Source organism: Homo sapiens, chromosome 12 (assembly GCF_000001405.40).
Source record: "Homo sapiens chromosome 12, GRCh38.p14 Primary Assembly".
NCBI lineage: Eukaryota > Metazoa > Chordata > Mammalia > Primates > Hominidae > Homo > Homo sapiens.
In genome coordinates, this window is record NC_000012.12 from 18,369,983 (window position 1) to 18,392,827 (window position 22,845).

General features: G+C 38.6%; 1 protein-coding gene across 17 annotated transcripts in view; it reads left to right on the forward strand.

The window, feature by feature from the left end:
• PIK3C2G (phosphatidylinositol-4-phosphate 3-kinase catalytic subunit type 2 gamma) overlaps positions 1-22,845 on the forward strand; it is a 483,857-nt gene that overhangs the window by 127,022 nt on the left and 333,990 nt on the right. For 16 of the 17 annotated variants that reach the window (XR_931307.3, XM_047429007.1, XM_017019471.2 and 13 more), the window contains 3 exons: positions 1,198-1,329; positions 11,784-11,898; positions 21,140-21,270. Coding sequence is in view for 16 of the 17 variants with exons in the window: in XM_047429007.1 (XP_047284963.1) it covers positions 1,198-1,329; positions 11,784-11,898; positions 21,140-21,270 (378 nt within the window). In the remaining variant the exon portion in view is untranslated. Of the gene's footprint in view, positions 1-1,197; positions 1,330-11,783; positions 11,899-14,535; positions 14,670-21,139; positions 21,271-22,845 lie in introns of those variants that run through there. The other variant, XM_017019479.2, reaches the window with a different exon arrangement.

Below are 22,845 nucleotides of genomic sequence, written 5' to 3' on the forward strand. Positions count from 1 at the left end.
AACGATCGTATAATTGACATATGATCATATAACGATCGTATAATTGACATATGATCATATAACGATCGTATAATTGACATATGATCATATAATGATCATATATGAGAACCTGATCATATAATTCTATACAATTGAGATGACTCCAGAAAAGAATGAAAGGTAGATGTCTCCCTGCCCCTATTAGGGATGCCAGATCACAATCTCAACTTTCTGTCAAAAGCCCCTTCTCAAACAATCATGCCACCTACGTATACCCCATCCAGTCTTACAGTAGTATTTATGACCTTCTGGACACTTCCTTACATATATTGATGATTTCAACCCAAACTCGAGTTTTTCTCATCATTAAAAATCCTGTGTCTATCCTTAGCCAATTTTATTTGCTAGTATCTATAATCCATCCAGGATCTGAGCTCGGAGAGTCTTGACCTTATCATATCCAGAGATTGTATATGTGTTACATTTCAGTGACCATCCTCCAAATTCCTAGGACCTCATCATGACCCAGAATGGTCCACATTTAAAATGGCAAAAAACTCTCTACACTTTGGCTGTTATCTTTCAAATATTTCTTTTTGACTTTAGGGAAAAGTTGAAATTCTTTTGCCTGGCATGTAGAGCTCTTAAGCATTCTGGCAACCACCTATCTTTCTAATTACATCCTCCACAATCTCCCCTATCAACTTGACTTCATCTTTTGTTCTAGCCACAATGAACCATTCACCATTTATCAGACACACCTAGTTGTTCATCCATATATGCCCTTGTCTGTGCTTTTTCCTCTTTCTGGAATATTCTTTTCCAAATCTCCATCTCATTATAGCTAACTTAAACCTTGAGAATCATTTTGAGTTATTTCCTGCCTCCTCCAACTCCCTAACACAGTGTCTTTCTAAGTCTGTTTTTCATCTGTGCTTGCAACAGCTTAAGAGTAAATGTTCAACTTATTGTAACTTTTAAAAATATACCTACATGTCAACATTATCAGGAATAATTTTCATCGATTAACAAAATCTCACTATTCTACATATTTCTGTTAAATTTTCATTTTTACAAGATTAAACAAAAAATTTCAAGAGGCAGCCTCAATTCAAATAGTTAAATATCTTTGTCCCAGACCAGTACATTATAAGAACATTTTCATTAAAATATCAGTACAATTGGGTAGGTAATGCTTCTTCTTTCTTTTATTCTCAGGATCAATTTTCCCCTTGAAATAAAGTCACTTCCAAGGGAATCCATGCTCACTGTAAAACTGTTTGGGATTGCCTGTGCAACCAACAATGCAAATTTACTGGCGTGGACTTGTCTTCCACTGTTTCCAAAAGAGTAAGTGTATCAATTGTGAGTAATAAGCCTATCATTTCAATAAAACATTCCTAGAAGTAAATATTTTGGAGTATATGGCATAATGAGGAAATCAAGACATTTTATTCTAAAATTGACATAGTTCAATATAAATCGTGACTGCTGAAATCAGAACTGAAAAGTGAAATTGTAGAAATGGCTTTCAAAACAGGACTCATGCTGAACTTGTCAGCTGGATCATTTATAATGAAAAGGTATTGGCATGACCAATCTCAATTACTTTTTCTTTTCTGACCAGCTGGTTTCTTTGGAACTAGTAATTCAAAATGATTTGGATTAATATTGTCATTTAGAAAGAATGTAAGTCATGGAATTCTGGCTAAAGTAAAATTATACAAGGTAACTGGCTTACTGACCTTTTCTTGTGAAGAAGAAATATTTAGTAATTTTAAGGTGATATTTTCCAGAAAACTAGGTCAATTATAAGTTCAGATATTCTCTCAGAACTAATGACCGTTGCAAAATGAAGTGTTGATTCAACCATAAATCTTGGAAAATATTAATATTCAGAATACTTGATAAAATCAATTACATGATGTTCTATGGTATTAAGGAAAAATATTTTTTAAAAATCAACCATTTTTCACACGGCTAGTCTTGCTTCAGAATCAAATGATAAAATTCAGGACTTTCAAAAAATCAGAACATATATTGTAATGTTAATATTTTTATAAAGCATATTTTTCCCTCTGCTGTTTTAGAAAGATATGGTGATACAAAAATATTTTTTTAATTTATTAATTTTTATTTCCCAGACCTAATCAATATAAAAAATTATTATCAGCAACCATAATAGATATTTCAAATCTTCTTTGTTGGATTAATTCTGATGTAAGCTGTGTGTATGTGTGTGTGTGTGTGTGTGGGCACGTGTGTGTGTGTTGTTCTGTTATTTGTTTTCATGCTTTAGCCCATTTCTATACCATTGTTCCTTGAGGACAGGGAATGTATTTATCTTTGTCATATCTATCATCTAATGTAGCACCTCATATAAATAGGCAATCAATACAAGTTTGTTTACTAAATTGAATTGAGGAAAAAAACAGTCCCTATATAGGAGATAAAGAATGAAATAGGATTTCAAGGTCTATAAGAAACAGTTTATCCCTAAAAGCAATACCTACTGCTGTTAGCAGACATTTCAAAGATATGATTTGTATGCTAAGAACTTTATTTTCTTTCTCACTAGGAGCAGCTATACAAGTGTCTTTCCTTCTCATGAGTGAGTTTCCTTAAAGTTTTACCTGCAGTATTTGTAAGATCTACCATTTTTTGTAGAATATTTCTAGCTAGTCACTGAAAATAAAAAAAGGTTAAGTCCATTTTACTCTCCCATCATGTAACACACTACTTGCACATATCAATAAACACTAAACATATAAGAATTCAGGAATATTTTTGTCTTTAAAACTAATCTTCAAGGCATTTTTCCAGATGGTTACGATAGTAAAAATACCACCTCCATGTTGTTTTGTCATATGTCACTTACCACTGGTAAGCACGTTACAGGCGAGTGGTCACAGAAGATGAGCATTTGTGAGAGATGGCATCTGGGACTGATCCTAGGTGTTATTTTTTAAGGGGATGCGTCAAAATTGTAGACAATGAGACATCAAAAAACACAACTCACTTCAACAATTACACAATAAGGATTTCTAAACATTTTTCAAAAAAAACCTGTTTCTCTTGAAAATCAGAAAATCTGCTTTTCTCCTGTGCTAGACAATTTAAGGAAATAAAGATATTTTTAAGAAACCAGAAATATGTCACATGGGGCAATTGGGAGGCTGCAAAGACTCCACTTTGTTCGTTGCTTCAAGTTACAAAGATTCTAACCCAGTTTATTTGATGCAGATATTTCCAGATCACAGCAAATTGGTGACTGAATTTCATTTCCTTTCGGGGGTAATCCCTGCTCATAAACATTTGGTATTGAATCTGTCTTTTATTACAGTTCAAATTGCCCATAGCTAGCCACGTGGAACTATAATGAGCGCTTATGTCATTATTTTTTCCAACACATATATCAACTGAAAATATGCAGAATTAAAGGTTTCCTATCGCTTTGTGGTTTCCAGAAGTGGATTTCAGAAGAACCAATGGTGATTAAACTCAGATAAATCAGTTAGGGCTGCATCAACAAAGTCTGAAAATAAAAATAAACTTCTACATTTTCAAGCATGCAAACTTGTCTTCAGTTCTATTTTTAAAAGTCTTGGCCGGGCACGGTGGCTCACGCCTGTAATCCCAGCACTTTGGGAGGCCGAGGCGGGTGGATCACAAGGTCAGGAGATCGAGACCATCCTGGCTAACATGGTGAAACCCCGTATCTACTAAAAAAATACAAAAAAAATTAGCCGGCCGTGGTGGCAGGTGCCTGTAGTCCCAGCTACTCGGGAGGCTGAGGCAGGAGAATGGCGTGAACCCGGGAGGCAGAGCTTGCAGTGAGCCAAATTGGTGCCACTGCACTCCAGCCTGGGCGACAGAGCGAGACTCCGTCTAAAAAAAAAAAAAATGCTCAAGTCCAAAGGTAAATTTGGCCCACAGAAGTTTTATAATCATGTCTTTTGCAGACAAGGCTTCCACTCCATCTGCATTTGTAATGTAGCCACAATGTAGCGAGAAAGTGTTATCCTCACCTCAGCAATTTCCATGAGCTTCCTCCCCTATTCAAGTTCAAAATTAATAGTATGGTAGTTACTTAGCATTTCTAAATTGTGGTAAGCTACTTCAGCACAGAGATTCTCAACCCTCATTAAATAATAGAATTTTCTGAGGAGATTTAAAAATAATCCCAAAGCCCAAGCATGCCCAAAGATTCTAATTTGATTGGTCTGTGACCTGGCCTGAGCACCAGTATTTTCAAAGCTCCCAAGGTGAGTTTAAAACCTTGAAAAATCAGGATGTTTTTCATAATTTCAAAAAAGGCCTAAAATAAACCTTAATCTCAAAACAATTAGATTCCTTAGACAATTGCCTGAGTAGCCAACCCTGACTCCACTGTGTCAAGTCATTTCAGATGTATCTTCAAAATCATAACCAAAAAAAAACTGGATGAGAATTTCTTATTGTTTTTCTCTCCTATCCAAAAGACCCTCAGTTAGTCCAAATACGTCATTTATAGATGAAGAACTCTATGATGAAGGAAGATTGAAAAACCGGCAGTTGGTTACCAGGCTACTTAGAATAGAACAAGAACTAGAATGCAGGTCTGAGCTTTAACTACCTTACGCCACCTCCCTTCCTGCTCTTAGGTGCCATGCCTTACTCCATGCACACTCTGTAAACACTTCACTACCCTACAAGAGGGATATAATTTAGATATTGTCTGCTGTAAATCTCATATTGAATTATGGTCCTCAGTGTTGGAGGTGGGACCTGGTGGTAGGTGTTTGGGGTCATGGGAGCAGATCTCATGACTTGGTCCTGTCCTCGAGATAGTGACTAGGTAATCACAAGGTCTGGTTGTTTGGAAGTGTGTGGCACCTCCTCCCACCTGTTATCACCATGTGAGACACCTGCTCCTCCTTTGCCTTCTGCCATGATTGTAAGCTTCTTGAGACCTCCCCAGAAGCCCAGCAGATGCCAGCACCATGCTTCCTGTAAAGCCTGGAAAACTGTGAGCCAATTAAACTCTTCTCTTTTAAATTGCCCAGTCTCAGGTATTTCCTTACAGCAATGCAAGAATGGCCTAACCCAGAAAGTCGGTACCAGGAGTAGGGTATTGCTATGAAGATATCTGTGGATGTGGCATTAGAACTGGGTAACAGGCAGAGGTTGAAAGTTTGGAGCACTCAGAAGAAGACATGAAAATGAGAGAAAGTTTGGGATTTCTGAGAGACTAGTTAAATAGTTGTGGCCAAAATGCTGATAGTGATATAGACTCTGTAAAGGCTGACAAGGTCTCAGTTGGCAATAAGGAACTTATTGGGAGCCAAAGCAAAGGTCACTCTTGTTATGCCTTAGCAAAGAATTTGGTTGCATTGTGTTCATGCCTTAAGAATCTGTGGAAGTTTGAACTTAAGAATGATGACTTAGAGTATCTGACAAGAGAAATTTCTAAGCAGCAAAGCATCCAAGAGGTGGCCTGGCTGCTGCTAACAGCCTCATCTCAGATTCAGGAGTGAAGAAATGACTTAAAATTGGAATTTATACTTAAAAGGGAAGCAGAGTGTAAAAGTTTGGAAAATTTGCTGCCTGGCCATGTGGCAGAGAAAGAAAAAGCATTATCAGGAGAGAAGTTGAAATGGACTTGGAGCAACCACTTCTTAGACATATCTGCATGACTGAAAAAAAGCCAGGTGCTAATAGCCAAGAAAATGTGAAAAAGGTCTCAAAGGCATTTCAGAGATATTCCAGGCAGCACCTCCCATCACAGGACCTGAGGCCTAGGAGGAAAGAATGGTTTCTGGGGCCAGGCCCAGGGGCTTGCTGCCCTGTGCAGCATCAGGACACTGCTCCCCACATCCAGGTGGCTCTGGCTCCAGCTTCAGACCAAAGGGGCGCAGGTACCGCTTGGGCCACCACTTTGTAAGGTGCAAGCTACAATCCTTGGCAGCTTCCACAAGGTGTTAAGCCTGCAAGCACACAGAGTGCAGGAGTGAAGGAAGCTTGTTAACCTCCACCTAGATTTCAGAGAATATTTTGGAAAGCCCGGGTGCCCAGCCATAAGCCTGCTACAGGGGCAGATCCCTCACAGAGAACCTCTAATAGAAAAGTGTGGAGGATAAATATGGGGTTGGATTCCTCACAGAGTCCTTACTGGGGCACTGCATAGTAGAGATGTGGGAAGTGGGCCACCACTCTCCAGATTCTGGAATGGTAGAGCCACCAGCAGCTTACAATCTCAGCATAGAAAAGCCACAGGGGCATAGCTGAGCAAGGTCTTGGGAGCCCACCATTGTATCCGTGTGCTTGGAATGTGGGATATGGAGTCAAGGGTTATTTTGGAGCATTAAGATTTAATGACTGCCCCGCTGGGTTTCAGACTTCCATGGGACCTGTAACTCCTTTCTTTTGGCCAAATTCTCCCTTTTGGAATAAGAATGTTTACCCAATTTCTGTACCCTCATTTTATCTTGGAAGTAAGTAACTTGTTTTGATTTTATGGGCTCATAGGTTGAAAGAACTGATCTCCAGATGAGACTTTGGACTTGGACTTCAGACATTTTAGTTAATGCTGAAATGAGTTAAGACTTTGGGTGACTATTGAGAAGGCATGATTGTATTTTGCAGTGTGAGAAGGACATGAGATTTGAGGAGCCAGGGGCAGAGTAATATAGTTTGGATGTTGTTTCCTCCAAATCTTGTGCTGAATTGTAGTTTCCAGTGTTGGAGGTAGGACACGGTGGGAGATGTTTGGATCATGGAGATGGGTCCTTCTTGGCTTGTGGCTGTCCTTGAGATAGTGAGTGGGTACTTGCAAGATCTGGTTGGTTGGCAGTGTGTGGCACATCTTCAAAGCTTGCTCCTGCTCTCACCATGTGAGACACCTGCTCACCCTTTGCCTTCCACCATGATTGGAAGCTTCCTAAGGCCTCCCAAAAAGCTGAGCAGATGCCAGCACCATGCTTTCTGTAAAGCCTGCAGAATAATGAGCCAAGTAAACTTTTCTTAATAAATTATTCAATCTCAGGAATTTCTTTTTAGTGACACAAGAATAGCCTACACAACAGGGTTCCAGCTCAGCCTTGCCTGGGCTCTACTCTTGCACATGAAACCTGTTAGACATAATAAAGTCAGCAGCCCAAAGAATTTTATAACATCAGATCCTTTGGTCCTGCCAGCTACAGATTCTTTGGCTCCAGGATGCCAGCAATGGGCACATAGAATATTATGGCTAAAATTGATAATTGCTTTATTTAAACACCTGATCTTGTTGTTTGAGGAAATGGGGCCCAAAGAGGGTAAACCAGCCCATCTGTTCTCCTGGTGTCACAAATTTTGTGTTGGCTTTTCTAGTCAATGAATTTATACGATATATTCAAATTAAAAATATTCTTAAGGATACTCCAGAACAAATATTTTGAAATACTATGTTTAGCAGCATAGTCCTTCTTCTAATGGCATCATATTAAAAAGTCTCAAAGTGTAAGAATGATTACATGGATGTGTTGCGTTACAAGAATTTACAAACCCATAGCCCAGCCTAACTGACATCTTCCCATCTTTCTGAAGTTCACCCTCAAACACCAGCAGAACCTCAAAGCTATATGTAAACTCTGAAGACCATTGATTTTGTCCAAAAAGCTCAAAAAAGTTAAGTTAATAAAGGGAAGGTAATAAAGGCAGGCTCCAGATGTCCTGACATAAACTCTGGTGTTCTTTCCATTATATGAAAGTCTTTTTTTGTGTCTCCTGCCTTCAAAATGTTTAATTTTAACTAACATAATAAATGTTTTCACAGGAGTAATACTTTAAAAAATGACCAGTGGTCCCCATTTGCCTGGTCTTATATATGGCTTTAAGTTATAAATATTACATATATATATGGCTTTAAGTTAAATATTATATTAGCCTTTTTGAGATGGAGTTTCACTCTCGTTGCCCAGGCTGGAGTGCAATGGTGTGATCTCAGCTTACCGCAACCTCCACCTCTCGGGTTTAAGTGATTCTCCTGCCTCAGCCTCCCAAGTAGCTGGGATATAACAGGCATGCATCACCATTTGTTGATACATTGCCCCATACACACATCTATGTCAGATGACTTCACTCTGCCACATGTGCCTCAGGGTTAAAGCCATGGTGACTGTTAATACATCCAAGACTCCATCAAAGGACAGTAATTACCATCAAATTCTTGAGTCCCCTCATCTTCTGTCAAGACCAGCTTAGACCACTCAGATTTCTGGAGTAAAGCATAGCCAAGACATAAAAATATGGTAAGGACACAAATATAACACATTCCACAACTTAGGTGTGAATAAATAATGCAACTCATGTATCACACTCTTCCTCATGAGTTCCCCCCCCCGTAACTAATGAGAAGAAATAAAGTTTCATCTATGATAAAGTATTAGTTCAGTAACTTTAAATAGTCCTTTTAGAAATATGCAGTCTCTTTTGGATAAAAAACCTAAGCAATACCATTCAGGACATAGGCATGGGCAAGGACTTCATGTCTAAAACACCAAAAGCAATGGCAACAAAAGCCAAAATTGACAAATGGGATCTAATTAAACTAAAGAGCTTCGGCACAGCAAAAGAAACTACCATCAGAGTGAACAGGCAACCTACAGAATGGGAGAAAATTTTTGCAATCTTCTCATCTGACAAAGGGCTAATATCCAGAATCTACAAAGAACTCAAATTTACAAGAAAAAAACAAACAACCCCATCAAAAAGTGGGCAAAGGATATGAACAGACACTTCTCAAAAGAAGGCATTTATGCAGCCAAAACACACATGAAAAAATGCTCATCATTGCTGGCCATCACAGAAATGCAAATCAAAACCACAATGAGATACCATCTCACACCAGTTAGAATGGCGATCATTAAAAAGGCAGGAAACAACAGGTGCTGGAGAGGAAGTGGAGAAATAGGAACACTTTTACACTGTTGGTGGGACTGTAAACTGGTTCAACCATTGTGGAAGACAGTATGGCGATTCCTCAAGGATCTAGAACTAGAAATACCATTTGATCCAGCCATCCCATTACTGGGTATATACCCAAAGGATTATAAATCATGATACTATAAAGACACATGCACATGTATGATTATTGCGGCACTATTCACAATAGCAAAGACTTGGAACCAACCCAAATGTCCATCAGTGATAGACTGGATTAAGAAAATGTGACACATATACACCATGGAATACTATGCAGCCATAAAAAAGGATGAGTTCATGTCCTTTGTAGGGACATGGATGAAGCTGGAAACCATCATTCTCAGCAAACTATCACAGGCACAAAAAACCAAACACCACATGTTCTCACTCATAGGTGGGAATTGAACAATGAGAACACTTGGACACAGGAAGGAGAACATCACACACTGGGGCCTGTCATGGGGTGGGGGGAGGGGGGAGGGATAGCATTAGCAGATATACCTAATGTAAATGACAAGTTAATGGGTGCAGCACACCAACATGGCACATGTATACATAAGTAACAAGCCTGCACGTTGTGCACAGGTACCTTAGAACTTAAAGTATAATTTAAAAAAATGCTGGGTCACTCAGATAAATTTCTCACACCCTGGCTCTCTTCCTAAGAGGGGAAAAGGATATATAAGAAAAGGAGAAAACAAAATCATAAAAGCAGATCCTTTGCCCTGGTGACTTCTGATATCCAAATGAAAGCCCCTTTTTAAGCTGACGGATGCTTGTTACAGCTGAAGTCTGCAGCTCATGACTGGGGCTCCCCCAGCTTGGCCAGGGTTTCCTGGCAAGCCCTGGGTGACTCAGGCTCTCACAGGCACCATAGACCCTCTTGAGGTTTGCCAACGACTCCCAGTTGGCCCCAGGTTGGATGGTCCTATCACATGCCCTTGTTACAGAAGCCCTTATCCCCACCAGGGAAACTCTGGAAACTCTCCCTCTCGAAAATCTTTAGATATTTCCAGATCCCATCTCACCTACAGAGAAACCAAAGAAGGCCCACAAAAGCTAAACTCACGAGTTCCTCCTGCCTGTTAATCACATGACGCCAAGTTTAATGGCCATGCCACAAGCAGTGCAGAACCTCTCAAGAGGTGATTTCCTTCCAGGATCTGAAACGGGGAGTGAGAAGAGGAGCGCCTCTGCCTTCAACATTATGTTTTGCTCACTGATCTCACACTTCTCCCCATCTGCTTGCCAAAGCAGAGGAGAGGCAAACTGGGACGCCTATGTCCGCCGTGCTTACTCAGGTCCTTCTTTCTCTGCCTTCTACTTCTCACCCTCCCAAATTCCCAGGAAGTGATGGGCTTTTCTGTCGTCATGTTCTCCTATCCAATATGGCACATCCTCCTCCCTCCTCACCTCTGTTGACTCTGTCCCATGCACAGAAACATTTTCTCTAAATGCTGTGGAGAACAATATGACCTCCAAGTTTGGCATTGGACATGTTTCTTCCTCCTCTTGCATTCTGCCTAACACTAATCCAAAACTTTTCTCAGGCAGATGGGGATTTGGCCATTTGGGGTGAAGCTCCTATGCTCTGACAGGCAAAGGGGAAAATTACAATAAAAATTTTCTAATCTTTACCTCTATTAAACTAATTCATACCTTACTAATACTGGACCCCTGATATTGTTATACCAAGACAGATTTTCTCTAGATAAGGGAGGGATGGAACAAAGAAACAAAGAAGACCCAAAATTCATCCTGCTACAAGAATATTCTTGAGTCATATAAAACATCTGCCTATATTTTAATAAAGCACATTATACTCCTCTAGGCAGATATGTGCTGACAATATCTTTAAATAGAGAAAATGATAAAAGAGGCAGTCTTCAGAAAGCTAAAGGTCTAAAGAAAGCTTTATTTGTTGAATTTTTTCCTCATGCTTTGCATAAGATCTGTTAAATGGCAAGATGGAATTGTATATTGCTTTTAGAAAAGCTCACTGGATGCATTAAAGTTCTTTATAAACTTAAATTTAATTTTGTTGACTTTCAGTTTTGCACTTTCAAGTTGGCATATTAAAATCCAACACTGTTTTCTGTGATCACTGGAACATTTTACTGATATTCTGACTCATATACCTAGCCAGGTACAACTTCTTTTTTAATTCACATAAGGATCTGTGGATTTGGATGTTACTGAAGCTGTTAAAACCATCCACAAACTCTTCCCTGTTTAAAGCCTTTCCTGTATGCACTCTCATTTACTATGGTAATTTACCACCGATTTTTAAACATTTAGAATATGAATAATCTTTCTATTTATGCATAAGGAAGCGTTTCCTCCGTGAAGCCCCACAACTATTTTTATTCTGCAGATCATATGCTATGCTAATTTAAATCTTTTTTTTTTTAATAAATTTAGAACTTGTATCTTTAAAGTTTCCCAGGGGATTTAGTCACTCCATGGAGCAAAATATGTTCTGAAGAGTTGACATCTTTATTGATTTAAGGCAGTTGTAACTCCAATAATATAAATCTGAAATTCTTAGTCCCACTTTATAATCACCATTGATGGCAATTAAAAATAAATGCTACCCATTAGAAACCACTGTGGGCAAATAATTTTCTCATGTGCAAAATAAATGTAGGCATTTATGAAAATAGCCAAGCATGTGGTATATTAGAAACGAACTGTTAATCAGTGTCTAGGCTGGTGGACTATCTCATTTCTTTTCTAGCAACTGAATAAAGCCCCTGTAAGAGCGGATTATGTTTATATTCCAAAAGAAAACATTTACAGATAATTATAACTTCCCTCATGAAGTGACTCCTGTCTGTGTGTGTGTGTGTTGTCTTTTGCAGAAAATCCATTCTCGGGTCTATGCTGTTCAGCATGACATTACAGAGTGAGCCTCCCGTAGAAATGATAACTCCAGGAGTGTGGGATGTAAGTCAGCCATCCCCGGTGACCCTGCAGGTAAGTGCCAGGCTAAAAGATTAAAGTACACATGGCAAGTATTGGTTGATACGTAGTTTGTTGTCAATTATAGAAACAATTTCTTCCAGGATCACACATTTTAATAGCCTTCTCTGCCTCCAGCCTTCTGGGATTTGTGAAACCTCTACTGCTTTTATGTACAGTACTCTCAAAGCACTTTTCTCCCAGCTTATATAATGGCAATTTCAAACCATTCTCCATCCTACAAGGTCATGTTGGAGAACTATGGAGTGTTGCCATTAGTATACTCATTATGGGCATTCATTTTCTTTCTATTGTCTAAAAACAGTCATTGGTATGTATTATTAACTTGGTATCCTACTCACACCTGCCTCTGCTTTGTGTCATATTTCTTTAAAATCTCTTCTGTTATATGTTTCTTAAAATGACTAGCAATTAACTGAGTAGTAGAAAAAAAACTGCAAAGTAATTATCCTTCTTTTTTTCTTAAAGTCTCTCTACTCTGTGTGATTAGTGATCATAAAAGAAAGGTGGTAAATGACTTCAGCCTTTGGTCCTTACTGCTGACAGCTCCTTATGGGTTCCTGATTGTAGTTTGTCAGGTTGGTTGGAAACGTGAGGCATGCACAGTCTCATACACGGAAATTCATGGAATATGAACTTTTCATCTCTATAGGAAAAATTAGAAAATGCTCTCTGGGCAGCACCCTCTAGAACAGAGTTTTTCAGCTTTACCAGTGTTGACATTCTGGACAAGAGAATGCTTTGTGGTGGGGGCTGCTCTGTGTATTTCAGGATGTTTAGCAACATCCCCGGCTTCTTTCCACTAGATGCCTGAGGCACTTTCTCATTCTGAAAATCAAAGAATGTCTCCAGATATTGTCAAATGTGATTTGAGAAAAGGATTTCCTCAGCTGACATCACTGCTCTAGAAGAAGTCAGTAGAGTCTCCAGGCTCTTAAGTTTCCAGGCTTGTGGTGAGGGGTTTGGGACATAGAGTTGAGAAAGATGCGCAGAAAAATATTTAACATGGAAAGGAAAAATTAATGCTACTAAAATATGGCATCACACTCTTGCAGAGGAAGATTCGACCACGTGACACCTAAAGGTCCACTTCTAATCTGTGGACATGTTAAAAAAGAATGCTTATTCAGATTAGATCTTGGCACAATATCATAGACACTCCACACACGATATCTTATCAATTAGCACTTGTTCTGTTTTAAAAGAACAAAAAGATAAATATATCCATGAATAAAGAGGAGAGACTCATCACAAACCCGGTAAACATATTCTACTAATGAAGAAAAATAGCAAAATGCCAGAGGTTCAATTCAATCACATTTGATTCATGTTTTACATATGACTACTATGCTCCAAACATTATGGTAAACACTCTTACAAAAATGAGCGAATATGTAATACTAAGCCAGGAATTCAAGGAATGCAAAATCCAGCTGGAGAGACAGACTTTCGCAACTCACTCTGATGTAATGTGACAGATACTATAGCCATTGTAGGGACACTAACACAGCGAGAATAGCAATGAATATTTCTGAGGGAAAGTAAAGAAATGTAAAAAGTCTGGGGACAGACACCCAGAGGACATGACATTTGAATGCCCTTTCTAGAATGAGTAAATTCTCACTAACGAGTTTAAGTGGGAAGGATTATCCAGTCATAAAGGAATGCACAATGCAAACACACAGATTCAGAAAAGAGTTGGCAGTTTCAAAATATGGCAAGTTAGTTAAGATTAAAGAATAAATTATGTGAGGAACAGTGGTAAAAAGTGGAAAATCTTTAGGGCACTAGATTGTGTACCAGGTTTGGACATGATTATCTGGGCAGTAAGTCATAAAAAGTAGTTCCAGCAATGTTGTAGAAAATGCCTTAAAAAAACAGGAAGATCGGATATGTGAACACTTGTTTTGGTTTGGGTTTGGGTGTTTTTTTTTTGAGACAGAGGCTCACTCTGTCACCGAGGCTGGAGTGTAATGGAATAAACATAGCTCACTGCAGCCTCCACCTTCTGGGGTCCAATGATCCTGTCATCTTAGCCTCCCAAGTAGCTGGAACCACAAGTGCATGCCACCTTGCCCTGTTATTTTTATTATTATTATTATTTTTTTTTTTTTTGTAGAGATGGGAGTCTCACTATGTTGCTCATGCTGGTCTTGAACTCCTGACCTCAAGCAATCCTCCTGCCCCAGCATCCCAACGAGCTGGGATTACAGGCGTGAGCCACTGCACCCAGCCTGGACATTTATTAGAAGAATATTTTAGTGATCTAAGTTAAGGATCATAGGGCCAAAAACTAAGAAAAAACAATTAAGTGGTAGATTTTAGAAACTTTTTTTAAACAGAAAGGGGTGCAACCATATGAAGGAAATATATAGGGAAACAGAGACAGAAACTTGAGTTCCTGAGTTCATAGCAATATCTTCAGTTTTAAGAATGAACACAGAGAAAAGATAGACAGTCTTCAACAGAGTAATATGAAGAACTCAGTTTGAGATACCTTGCATTTTATATAGGCCTGTGGGGTGTGTAAGTGTAGATATAAGTGATCTTTCTTTAAGAAGACAAATGTATTTTCTATCAAACTATTTCTTGACAGGTCCAAACCACCTTAGCTTAATGAAAATTTTCAAGTATGACCATTGTCAGAGTTTTGTGGATATAAATTCATGATTTTAAGGTTCTATGGGGCAGAGAAGAGTGATGGTGGTAGAAGAAGGAGAAGAAGGTCTATCAGATGAGACTATCCTTGATTCTTCTCAGATGAGGTAAATAGTTCCTTTATCAACATAGATTTTAGCAAGTGGAATTTGAAGGAAAACTTCAAATATTCAATAGTGGCACCGATTTCCACGTAAAGATCTGGATCCATAATAGAATTCATCTTAGAAATAAGTGGAAGAGGGGCATGTAAATCATTCCACAGTATGCGAAAGTTAAACCATCCCATTTTTACAAAATAATTTCAAATTGTATAGACACATGAAAAGCCTCTCAGCATGATTTTAATTGGTGATGCAATATATAAAATAAGAGTTATTAAGGTAGTAAAGGCAAAACCTTTAATAGTATCAGTTTAATTAAATAGTCAGCTAAATTTAGAGCAGAATCTTTCAACCTAAAGATTATGAGATGGTGAAATTACAACCAAGTTCTGCATCCAGTGTTTCGTTAGGGAGTTAGTATGAGTCTCGGGGAAAGACATCTGGCTGAGTTAGAAAATCTGGATTCTAGTCTTCCTTTTACAGAAAACTTTATGACCTTGAACAAGTCACCTAACCTATTTTATCCTCTGCATAATGAAAAGATTATACTAAGCCTACCTGACTTCACTTTTCCGATTGTCCTCATTAGATGGTGGTTACTGCCACACTGCAGCCACTCCAGTATGACAAGGGATGTAATATGACACAGATGTGATCACTTCCAGGCAATACTTTTTTCAGGTCCTATGGTTGATTGATGTGCCGACCGGAAGCAGTCGACAGAGTGAAATAGATTTTAGTTCAGAAGTGGAGGCAGATAATACATAAGTTACTGCTTGACTCACTTAGCCTGGGTCTCCTTCAACTTCCTGCCTCTCCCCGAATGCAATCTAGTGGAACAGCTCTGTCACATATTTAAGCACGAAATGCAGAGCTGTTTCATAGAATTCATGCGGTTCTTGTTCTAGTCTATGTTTCTTTATTATTATTATTATTTGGAGATGAATTCTCACTCTGTCGCCCAGGCTGGAGTGCAGTGGCGCGATCTCGGCTCACTGCAACCTCCTCCTCCCAGGCTCAAGCAATTCTCCTGCCTCAGCCTCCCAAGTAGCTGGGATTACAGGTGTGCGCCACCATGCCCAGCTAATTTTTGTATCTTAGTAGATACGGTTTCACCATGATGGCCAAGTTGGTTTCGAACTCCTGACCTCAGGTAATCCACCTATCTCGGACCCCCAAAGTGCTGGGATCTATGTTTCTCTACTTCCTCACCTCCCCGTTTGTATCTACAATCACTGTATTCTGGCTTGCCACCACTCTTAACTGTGGTTAGGTACCTGCTAGTTCCTAGGTGCCAAACCCAGTGATGGTTTTCAGTCCTCATCAGGCTAGCCCTCCCTCTGCTCTTCTTGGCACTGTCTGTCTCTTCCCCATAACTGAACTCCCTCCTCTTCTTCAAAGAGACTGAACTTTCTCCCTCCTCCTTCCACAGAACCAAACCCCCTCCTCCTCTGGCTTTGGTGTTACTGCCCTCGGTTATCTCCTTCCACTGCTCTCTGATCATCCTTTGTCTCCTTCCCAGGCTCTCACCAAAGACAATTCTCAAAGGTTCCAGTCTGCAGCCCGCTGCCGTGCACAGTGGACATATTCTCCCTGGATGCTCTCATTCATTTAGTTTCTTTTAAAAAACAGCTTTCTTGAGATGTAATTCACATACCATACTATCCTCCCATTTAAAGTGTGCGATTCAGTAGTTTTTAGTATTTTCACAGATATGTGCGACTATCACTGCAGTCAATTTCAGATCATTTCCATCACATCAAAAAAGAAATCCCATACCCCTTAGCTCTCACCTCCTATTCCCCCAATCCTAAGCAACCACTAATCTTCTTTCTATCTCTGTCAATTTGACTGTTTGGGGCATTTCATTTAAATGGAATCATACAATGTGTGATCTTATTTGTGGCCAGCTTCTGTCACTTAGCATAATATTTTCAAAGTGCATCCAGGTGGTAGCCCCGATTGGGATTCATTCCTTTTTCTATATTACAGATACATTTTTATACAATAATATTACATTATTGTAATATGCACATATGAATATACCCTATTTTATTTATTAATTTATCCGTCAATGTACATTTGGATTCTTTCCACTATTTAGCTATTAAGAATATTGCTGTTATGAACATGTATGGACATGTTTTTGTGTGAACATATGTTTTCATCTTTCTTGAATATGTACTTAGCCATGGAATTACTGGGTCTCATACATTTCTAAGGTTCTTGTCTCAATATCTGTGTAAGTGCACTTCTGAGTCTGTATCTCTAGTTCAGACTTCTTCACACATCAAGCTTCAGACAAATATAGCCACATACTTGCTGAAACCCCCACCTGGATATTCTATTGGCAGCTTCAAACGAAACATGCCCCAAACGGAGCCCACTTCCTCTCCAAAATTACTTTCACCCTCTGAATTCTTTATGTCTGTTCATGCCCCACATACACCTACCTGATTTTCTTGTCTCCTTCCTTCTTTCTCTCTACTCATATCCGGTCCATACTATATCCTGCCAATTTATATTCTATATTTTTATTGTCTATCCTCTCAATTCCTCACCTCATCTGCTGGTTTCCTTGGCTTTAGTTTTGTCATTCTCTAATCCAAAATTTATACAGTCACAAGGGTGATTCTTCTAAAACTTAAATCTGAACCTGCCAGTTCCCTGCTTAGACTCTTCAATAACTCAGCACTACCCAGAGGATTAAGGCCAACCTCTGTAGCATGACCCCTGTCCCATCGCTTCTCTTGCCAGTCCCTGTTTGACACTTCAAGCTTCAATAACTTTGAAAATGCTGTCGTTTCTGACATGCACTGTCTTGCTTTCACCTTATGTGAATTTATGAATACTGTTCCCTGTCTATAATGTGCCCTCGCCCCTTCACCCTCCACTGTCCACCCCTCCTCTGACTCTGTGTAAATGAGATTCATCTTTTTCCACCCACGGACCCTCTAGAAATCTCTCCCTTACCCCCTCCACTCTTCTCACACCAAGCAAAGTTAAGTGCCCTTCTTCTATGTTCACGTAATACCCAATAGCATTTTTATCAACACATTTATCACTTCGTATTCCTTCCCACTGACTGAGTGATCTCTGATGGCATTGAAGGTATTATATCACAAACATCTAGCACAGTAGTTGGAATAATGTTTTTGTTAAATTAATGATATGTATCCATATTTCTGATGACTACAAAAACACTGCCCACACGTATGTCTCAATTTAGCCCTTTGGTCCACTTATCTGAACCTGAATACCAAAATGTTTGGCTCTTCCTTTTATCTAAGCAAGACGTCTCCTTAAACCACAGACCTTACTCACTCATTCGAAGTATTTTACTTTTTCTAACATTTTAGTACATGCTTATATTCCATTATCGTCAGCGTTAGGAAGAAGCACCAGTCTTATCATTGATACAAAGTTTTTAGAACACATTGTATTTTTATTTCTAATGTAACGGAGATCCTTTTTTTTTTCTCACTCCAAAACCACCATATGGATCCCTCTTTTACAACTCCTTTTTTCAGACTCACCACAATTGCCACCCAGTTAGCAGTTATCTTTCCTTCCTCTGAACTGCAATAGAACTCATGGTCTAACATACGTATGTCTTTTCTTTTCTTTTTTTCTTTTTTATGAGACAGTGTCTCACTCCATCACCCAAGCTGGAGGGCAGTGGCGTGACCTCAGCTCACTGCAACCTCCACCTCCATGGTTCAAGCGATTCTCTCTTGTGCCTCAGCCTCCCAAGTAGCTGGAATTACAGGTGCATGCCACCATGCCCAGCTTATTTTTGTATTTTTAGTAGACACACGGTTTCACCATGTTGGCCAGGCTGGTCTTGAACTCCTAACCTCAAGTGATCTGTCTGCCTCAGTCTCCCAAAGTCCTGAGATTACAGGCATGAGACACCATGCCCAGCACGTGTGTCTTATAATACCAACCTACGCACAGTCCAAGTGGAAGTTCTTTGAATAATCTGACAGAATCATGGGAACCCAAAATTGGCCCAGGGGCACCTTATGGGTATGGTTGTGGGGCATGGACGCTAGGGACATTCACAACAGCTCCCGTGAGCAGTGCCAAGTAATGAAGCCATAGTAGAAATCATGGTGGCCAACTGTGAATGACAAAGGATGAGCAGAAGAAGTGAAGCAAGATGGATAAATGGAACACAAGAAGTTGATATCCAAATGTGTAAGGAGCTGTGAATTAGAAGGGAGGATAACCAGGTTTGAATATGTTCCTCTATCCCCCCCAAAAAAACATATTTTTGTTGCTGTTGTTGTTGTTGCTGTTGTTAAAATAAGGAGTGCATCCTCAAGGCTTAGCCAGGAATGTGAGAAATAGATGTCATGGCGCATGCAATGTTGACATTTGAATAGATCTCCTGAAGCGTTCCTTTCAAAAGAAATTTGAAGCCAGGTGCGGTGGCTCACGCCTGTAATCCAAGCACTTTGGGAGGCCGAGGCGGGTGGATCACAAGGTCAGGAGATCGAGTCCATCCTGGCTAACATGGTGAAACCCCGTCTCTACTAAAAATACAAAAAAATTAGCTGGGTGTGGTGGTGGGCACCTGTAGTCCCAGCTACTGGGGAGGCTGAGGCAGGAGAATGGCGTGAACCCGGCAGGTGGAGCTTGCAGTGAGCCGAAATGGTGCCACTGCACTCCAGCCTGGGCAACAGAGTGAGACTCCATCTCAAAAAAAAAAAAAAGAAATTTGAGACCAAAGCCAGGCTTGGTCAGCCACAGCCATAGAAGGAGAAAGAACAGAGCTGAGTGTTTGTCAGTACTGAAAGCACAACAATGAAGCGCAGCTTTGGGGTGCTATGTATTTATTATTCCCTATTTTAATTGTTAATGTGTGCGCCTTTTCTCCTCAATTAAACTTTAAGTTATCAGAAAATAATAGATATTACTTATATCTTTCATTATGTATGGTGCTTAAAAGTGTTCTAAAGCAAATGCATTAAAGCATAGTTTTGGGGAAGTTTTCTCTTATAAAAAGTAGAAAAGGCAACTAGGAAAAATTCCAATATTTTCTATAGTAACTCAAGAATCAGTAGCTATTTAGCCTCATAATTCATGAAAAAATGCAATTTGATAAAAGATCTCACGTATCAGAAATGAAAATTGTTTCCTAAGTGAAATATACACAAATAATTTATTATAGGTTTGTACACAGGAATTCTTTTGTATGCTCATCTACCTTTCTCAGTTTTCTCATCTACCATGCCATTTACTTAGTATCAACATAAAATTATACTAACTCATTAAGAGCTATTTAAAAATATTTGTCCATATAAAGAGTAGCATGTAACTTGCTCGTACTGGATGCCCTTCCCCTCTAAGGTACCAAAGTTCATCTTTCAAGATTAATCTTTGTCAAGAGGCAAACTTTGTTGTAATGTTTCAGTTAAGCTGATCTCGTACTTGTTTATTTTATCATGTTGGAGTAGTAATTGATATATTGTAACACAGATTATATCAAAAACAAAACTTATAACAAACGTTAGAGGTTATAGAATGAAATTACTAAAACTTTTTCAAATAAATAAGCGCTCAAATATATTAAACTGTATTTCAAACTGAAACTCACACCATCTACTTTGTAAGGTTCCTCAATTTTTTCTGAGATTCCAACCTAACATAACTCAGCAGAGAAAAATAATGTCTGTGGGATCTCTAATATTAAAATGAAAAAAACCCAGTATGTGTGATAACCTTAAGCAAACCTATGGAGCCCTAGAATATCCAGCTTATTTACATAGCCTGGAACTGTCTTTTTGTTAACTGTAATTTTATTTACTAATCAGATTCTGAATCACTGAAACATGGTTTAACAGAAAGTAGACTGAGCCAGAAAAAAAAGGAGGCTGGATTCTAGAACTGTCTATAAATCTGAACTACAGAACCAAAGCAGAAATATTCTATTTGATTTTTTACTAACACAACAGTTCTTTACCAAAGAAGAGCTCACTCATGTGTACATAATGATTCTCAGACTTGCAAATTTCATGAACTAGAGATCAATATAGATTAACTCTATTTTTTCAGGCGGGTTACATGAAAAAAGCATAATTACCAATGTTAAATTTCATCATTTCGTAAGGAGACATTTTAACACCGAAATGTAAAAAGGATATAATGTTAGCATTAACCAAAAATGTAACATATTAATCTTTATGGAGAGACCATATATTATTATTTCTCTCATTTTCCCTCAGACAACATTACCGGTGACCCATCTATACCATTTGTATACATAATTGGCTAAATAACTTGTATATTTAAATCCTAAGTCCAACCTCTAATAATTATTTTAGAAATTATTTTAAAATTATAAATAGCACAGAAAAAATAGAATTTATTCTGTTCTTTAGTTTCTATAAATCTAAGATAGGAATATTAAATCAATAATGTATTTTGAGACACCTTCAACACATGGCAAATCATTTTTTTTCTTTCAGATTGATTTTCCAGCTACTGGGTGGGAGTATATGAAACCTGATTCTGAAGAGAATAGAAGTAATCTTGAAGAGCCACTAAAGGAGTGTATAAAACATATTGCCAGACTTTCACAGAAACAGACTCCCCTACTGTAAGTGACCTAGGTCTTGTGAATGAATTTTTGCCTGCTGTTTATGATTTCCTCAATCATTCTTGAAGCATGATAGCTTCAAAGAGTGAGTGTTCCTTCCTACATAACTGGTTTCATTTCCTGATGTCATGCTTCTTGGATGGTTAATTAATGTTTAGGACGTAAATAAGTAATTTTGTCTGCTTTTAACGATTTATTTCCTGTGGTCTTAAGGAAAAGTAAAAAGTTTGGAAGTTATTCAGTTCAAAATAACAAAGCAGAGAGTGATCATATATACATCAGCACATAGCAGTGATAAACCATCTCTCAACCTTCCTTCCAGGAGGTAGAAAGTTGTTTTAGTCAACAGGGAAAAGCAACATTTAATTAAGGCAGATTTTTAAAAAGAGCAGAAAAGAAATAAGTCTTGTTTTAACAGCACAAATTAGTGACTAAGGAGTACTTTGTAAAATAATAATTCTTTGAATAGAACCAAAATCCCAGGAAGAACTAGTAGGGAATTAGTGGCATTTGTAGTTGATACTTGGCAAAATGCATGTCACAGCTGATCATGCTCATTAATAACAAGCCAAGGGCATCAAACTGAGAAAGTGTCTCTCTCTCTCTATCTCTTTGTGCGTGTATGTGTGTGTGTGTGAGAGAGAGAGAGAGAGATTAAGATATGTAACATGATAACAGACTTTACTCCAAGAGTGAAAATTAATGTAAAGGTTTTAAACAAGGGAATCATGTGACCAGAAAAATCTTGAGTGATACCTTTGACGACAAGTTGAAGAATGGATTGGAGTGGACGTGACAGTAGAAGCAAGCAGTGCAGCAAGGAGGTGAATGTAACAGTTTAGGCAAGAGGCCATGATGGCTAGAACTAAGATGATAGCAGTGGATATTCATAGAAGTGGCTAGATTTGGGAGACATATTTTGGCAGTTGAGAAGACATAACTTGATGATTAATTAGAATTTTGGAGTAAGTCCCTTAAGAAATTAAAGAATCAAGGTTAAGTCAATAGAGAGTCCAAATCAACTGGGCAGATGGTAGTCATTTTCTGGAGGAGGAATTAGTTTGGGCCCTCCCATACTAGGGCACTGAGTGCGATCAGGAGTTTTCTTTTGAGTAATCTTGCTACTTTCCTACTCTCTAATTTCAATATTTATTACTGTTTTTCTCATTCACTTCAAGCCAGTAACATCAAACTCCTTTTTAAACTTCAAATGTGCTAGTCCTGCTCCCATCTCAAGGCCTTTTTATTTGATATTCCCTCTGCCTGAAAAACTGTTTCCTAAGTTCTTCACATTACTAAATTATCTCATCCTTTAGGCTTTCACTTAAATGTCACCTCAAAAAGTCCTTCTTTGGCCACTCTATGTGATGAAGCCTTTTTTCCCTCACTCTCTATCATATTACCTTTTATGTTATAACACTTAACACAAGCTATTATCCTGCCCACTCATGTGTTTAGCTCTTGTCCCCCTCATTAATTTGCAAGAACTGGAAAAAGTAAGGAACCTATCTTTCTTGTTTATCACTATATTTCTAATGCTATACACTGATAACAATGTGTGTGAATAAATAGATT